At 36.6% G+C, this 5900-nt stretch overlaps 1 annotated feature.

Annotated features, from left to right (window-relative positions):
- Positions 5576–5635: a silencer, noted in NCBI's record as "silent region_16923". NCBI's record gives its function as "represses an Ori minimal core promoter by ATAC-STARR-seq in GM12878 lymphoblastoid cells {active_cell/tissue: GM12878}" and the evidence as "EXISTENCE:reporter gene assay evidence [ECO:0000049][PMID:35858748]".

Genomic DNA, 5900 nt, shown 5'->3' on the forward strand with positions numbered 1-5900 from the left:
CAACAAGTTTTTACTTACAAACGTGGCAATTTTACAAGATTTAATCTAAAAGTAATGCTTTATCTTTTCTAAGATGTGTGACTTACCCATCCTTTCAGAAGCAAGTCTCTGCTGCCCAGATTGGCTTATAGGCAAGTTGAAGTTAAGATGAGTTTGTGGGATTTGTTTGTGGTTTTGTTGCTAATTCTTCAAGTCTAGGTGCTTAGGGAGAGGGAATGTTTTCCTTTTTCTTTCTTTCTGTTTTAATTCCTTCTAAAAAAAAAAAAAAAAAAAAAAAAACAGGATCCACGTGCGGAACGTGCAGGTTTGTTACATAGGTATACACGTGCCATGGTGGTTTGCTGCACCTATTGACCCATCCTCTAAGTTCCCTCCCCTCACACACCACCCCCCAAAAGGCCCTGGTGTGTGTTGTTCCCCTCTCTGTGTCCGTGTGTTCTCATTGTTCAACTCCTGCTTGTGAGTGAGAACATACAGTATTTGGTTTTCTGCTCCTGTGTTAGTTTGCTGAGGATGATTACTTCCAGCTTCATCCATATCTCTGCAAAGGACATAATCTCATTACTTTTTACGGCTGCATAGTATTACATAGCGTATTTGTACCACCTTTTCTTTATCCTGTCTACCATTGATGGTAATTTGTGTGGGTTCCAAGTCTTTGCTGTTGTAAATAGTGCTGCAATCAACATACATGTGAATGTGTCTTTACAGTAGAATGATTTATATTGCTTTGGGTATATACCCAAATAATGGGATTGCTGGGTTAAATGGTATTTCTGGTTCTAGATCCTTGAGGAATCACCATACTGTCTTCCACAGTGGTTGAACTAATTTACATTCCCACCAACAGTGTAAAAGCGTTCCTATTTCTCCACAGCCTTGCCAGCATCTATTGTTTCCCGACTTTTTAATAATTGCCATCTGACTGGCATGAGATAGTATCTCATTGTGGTTTTGATTTGCATTTCTCTAACGACCAGTGATGATGAACTTTTTTCATATGTTTGTTGGCCACATAAATGTCTTCTTTTGAGAAATGTCTGTTCAAAAAGTGCTTTGCCCACTTTTTGATGGGGTTGTTTGTTTTTTCTTGTAAATTTATTTGAGTTCCTTGTAAATTCTGGATATTAGACCTTTGTCAAATGGGTAGATTGCAAAATTTTTCTCCCATTCTGTAGGTTGCCTGTTCACTCTGATGATAGTTTCTTTTTGCTGTGCAGAAGCTCTTTGGTTTAATTAGATCCCACTTCTCAATTTTGGCTTTTGTCACACTTCCTCTTGGCATTTTTGTCATGAACTCTTAGCCCAAGCCTATGTCCTGAATGGTATTGCCTAGGTTTTCTTCTAGCGATTTTATTTTGGGCTTGACATCTAAGTCTTCAATCCATTTCAAGTTAATTTTTGTAGAAGGTATAAGGAAGGGGTCCAGTTTTAGTTTTCTACATATGGCTAGCCAGTTTTCCCAGCATCATTTACTGAATAAGAGATCCTTTCCCCATTGCTTGTTTTTGTCAGGATTGTTGAAGATCAGATGGTTGTAGATGTGTGGTGTTATTTCTGAGGTCTCTGTTCTGCTCCATTGGTGCGTATATCTGTTTTGGTACCAGTGCCATGCTGTTTTGGTTACTGTAGCCTTGTAGTATAGTTTGAAGTCAAGTAGCATAATGCCTCTGGCTTTGATCTTTTTGCTTAGGATTGTCTTGGCTATGCAGGGTCTTTGTTGATTCCATGTGAAATTTAAAATAGATTTTTCTAATTCTGTGAAGAATGTCAATGGTAGTTTGATGGGAATAGCACTGAATCTATAAATTTCTTTGGGCAGTATGGCCATTTTCACAATATTGATTCTTCCTATCCATGAGCATGGAATGTTTTTCCTTTTGTTTGCATCCTCTCTTATTTCCTTGAGCAGTGGTTTGTAGTTCTCCTTGATGAGGTCCTTCACACTCCTTGTTAGCTGTATTCCTAGGTATTTTATTCTCTTTGTAACGATTGTGAATGGGAGTTCATTCATGATATGGCTTTCTGCTTGTCTATTGTTGGTATAAAGGAATGCTTGTGATTTTTGCACATAGATTTTGTATCCTGAGACTTCGCTGAAGTTGCTTATCAGCTTATGGAGTTTTGAGGCTTAGATGATGGGGTTTTCTAAATATAAAATCCTGTCATCTGCAGACAACTTGACTTCCTCTCTTCCTGTTTGAATACCCTTTATTTCTTTCTCTTGCCTGATTGCCCTGGGCAGAACTTCCAATACTATGTTGAATAGGAGTGGTGAGAGAGGGCACCCTTGTCTTGTATGGGTTTTCAAAGGAAATGCTTCCAGCTTTTGCCCATTCAATATGATATTGGCTGTGGGTTTGACATAAATAGCTCTTTATATTTTGTGATATGATCCATCAATACCTAGTTTATTGAGAGTTTTTAACATGAAGGGATGTTGAATTTTATCAAAGTCTTTTTATGTATCTATTGAGATAATCATGTGGTTTTTGCCTTTGGTTCTCTTTCTGTGATGGATTACATTTATTGATCTGTGTATATTGAACCAGCCTTGTATCCCAGGGATAAAGCCAACTTGATCGTGGTGGATAAGTTTATTGATATGCTGCTAGATTCGGTTTGCCAGTATTCTATTGAGGATTTTCACATCAATGTTCATCAGGGATATTGGCCTGAAGTTTTCTTCTTTTGTTGTGTCTCTTCCCAGTTTTGGTATCAGGATGATGCTGGTTTCATAAAATGAGTTAGGGAGGAGTGAGAGAGTATTTTTCTTGAGATAAATTTACATTGTTATTTGAGCATCTCTGAATACTGGGCAGTGGGGAAGAAGGCAGAGCTATAAATATTCTCTGTGGTGAATATTGCACCTGTCATTTTCACATGAGACTGTGGATGCTGGACAGTAGAATTGACTCCATGTCTCCTTGGGACTGTGGAGCCATTTCTCTTTTCATTAATCATGGCAGACAAAACCAATAGTCAGCATGTTCTTCACTGCTACACGTGATTGCCAAATTTGATAAATAAAAATACAAGGTACGTAGTTAAATTTGAAGAAACAACAAATAGGTTTTTAATTTTAGCATGTCCTGTGTAATACTTGGGACATAATATATACTTAAACAAGTATGTGTTGTTTATTTGAAATTCAAATTTGTCTGGGCATTTTGTATTTTATCTGGCAACCCTACTGCTCAGCCCAGTCACAGCATTAAATTCTTCTCAACACAAGCATGCAGTCAGTATAAATCAACTGCTGTTGACATGTGAGTTGATGTCTCTTTGACATTTCACATTCCACAACGGAGCTTAACTGGTGGGGTCCAAATCTTACAAAACAGGCCTTGCTTATCTCCAGCTCTTGCTTGATTAGTTTTGGATGTTAGCCTGGGTCTGGCAGAATCTCCTCCCCTCCTTTCCAGGAGCACGGCTCTTGTACAGGAGGAGTGCTGTGAGTCACTCTAGAACTTTCATCAATCTGGGTTCATCTCACCACCTCTCCAATAAATTCTCCAAAGCTAGTGCAAATTCGATAGTGCCTTTCCTACTTTCCAATGGCCATGCGGGTTTTTTCTTTCTTATTTTGAAGGAATTTGGGGAAAAAGAGTATTAGATGACTGTGTTGTAGTCATCTTCCCATCTTATCTGAAAAGTCAAGATAATTTTCTTGATCTGAAACAAAATAAATCCTTGCACGTGGTTAAATGTCCATGTTCCACCATGAACTTTAATACTCATATAAGCCCAACTGTGAAACTCATACATCGGTTCGTCAATATTTTTATGGCTGGGTTCTTCTTCTGGTTGTAACAACACAAAGATTTTAGAAAGGGCAATCCTGAAAGAAATTGCCCCCTGCTGTCTATTTTGAGTATGGGGCAATGTGCAGACACTGAGATTTGCAAACAAGTATCATTAAATAGAACCCTGTAGAGAAACACAAATGGAACTTTGGAAATGTGATATTAAGATAATTTCTTATTTCAACATTCACTGACATCAAACTTCAAATAAGAATCCATTAAGAATAAAAATCAGATAATTTAGGTAGCACTTCAAAAACGATCATATATGGCCTCTTTCCTTCTCTTCCTTTATCTTTTCCTCTCCATGGATGATATATGACAAAAAAGGAACATTCTGTAGCATTAAATCAGATTTCAAAGTCATTATTATGATTATATGCACATCAGTAGTACTTGCCCTACTTTTGCTTAAATCATGGAGATTATGAGAAAAGCATTCCTTTGGGGAATTTAGTTTGTTTCCCAGCTTTTATAGATATTTCATTTGAGAAAAATTTGAACTCTATCTGGGTATTCAGGATTCATGCTTTCATCTGTAAATTTCAGTGACTACTAACACCACCTGGCCAAACCGATTATGAAGCTCTAAATATGATCTGAAATTTCAAATTCAATTCATTTTCAGTTCAAAAAGTATGTTGTTAATGATGCCTTACTGTTCCTGCAGTAAGAAGGCTGCTTTTCTTTTTTTGTATAGAAAATAGCTTTGATTATTTTAAGTTTTATATGTGATACATATTAAAAGTATAAACTAAAATATATAAAATGGTATAAAGAAAATATTTTAAAAATTACCTTTAATTACAACACTATGAGATAAATAGCCCCATTATGTTGATTTATTCTTTACTTCTGTTCCTGGATAGAAACATAAGTGGGAATATATTTTATGAGCACAAAGATACAATCAAAAGAATTGACTTTTTTTTAGGTGTAGTGAGCTTTAGCCCTTTATTTGAATTCCTTTTTCATATTTAAAGCCACCTTATAAAGTATGTACTATCAATAAATTTCCTATTTAGAGATAAAAAAATTGAGGACAGAAAAGGTCAGATTGCCCAAACTCATATGACAGCAAGTGGAGAAGCCAGAATTTGAAACAAGGCCGTTTGACTCCAGAGCTCATGATACAGTACATGAAGTTTAATGGACATGCATTTTATCACCTAATGATATACTATAGATACCTTGCCATATTGATATATATCAAAATACATACATCCTTTTTATGGCAACATAGTATTCCATTAGGTGGCCAAACCATAGTTTACATAAACAGTCTCTTTACTTCACAATGGAATACATTTTTTTCGCCACTATAATATTACTTTGGGAAAAAAAAGAACCCTTGCAATTATCTTCGCTAATTTTTTTTACTACTTGTTTAGGATAAATTCCTAAAAGTAGGATTTGGTAGTTCAATTTAATTTTTTGGCACACATTGCCAAAATGCACTTCCTGAAGATTAAACCAACCTACTCTCCTACAAACAGCACATTAGAATAACTTTTCCACACTCGCTCCCTTTAGAAAGATAATTCTCAAAGTCTCACATTCCAAGACACTTTGAAAGCAAAAAATCTCTTTCCATAGTGAGTCATCACTGTAATTTGCATACCACAGTGAATCATCACTGTAATTTGCATATGGCCAAACTTCTTTAAAGACTGTGATACCCTGTCTAGGCACCAATGCTTCTCCGTGAAACAGCTTCCCAGGGTCAATTTTCCCTGTGGTGGCCAGCAGGCGGTGCTCACACACAGATTAGAAAGACCTCTGTGGTCACTGATTCTCTAACGCAAAAAACTTCATTCACATCACCTCAAACCCTTGGACAACACTACGTGGCCTGTGAAAACCACCTGATTGCTCGAACCTTACATTATGGTTTAGTCAATACTCTCTGAAATTCAGGTTCTTATTCTTATACCAATATCTTAGGAAGAGTCATGTGAGCAATGTCCAAATATTCTTGACTATGAGTGAGGTCCATGTATACACACTACCAGTAGCTCCCTAAGACCCAGGCAGGTAAGCTTTTAAGTATCCAATCTTAAACATGTATCATAACCTTAACCACCAACTCCATAT

This window comes from Homo sapiens, chromosome 6 (genome assembly GCF_000001405.40).
Source record: "Homo sapiens chromosome 6, GRCh38.p14 Primary Assembly".
Lineage (NCBI taxonomy): Eukaryota > Metazoa > Chordata > Mammalia > Primates > Hominidae > Homo > Homo sapiens.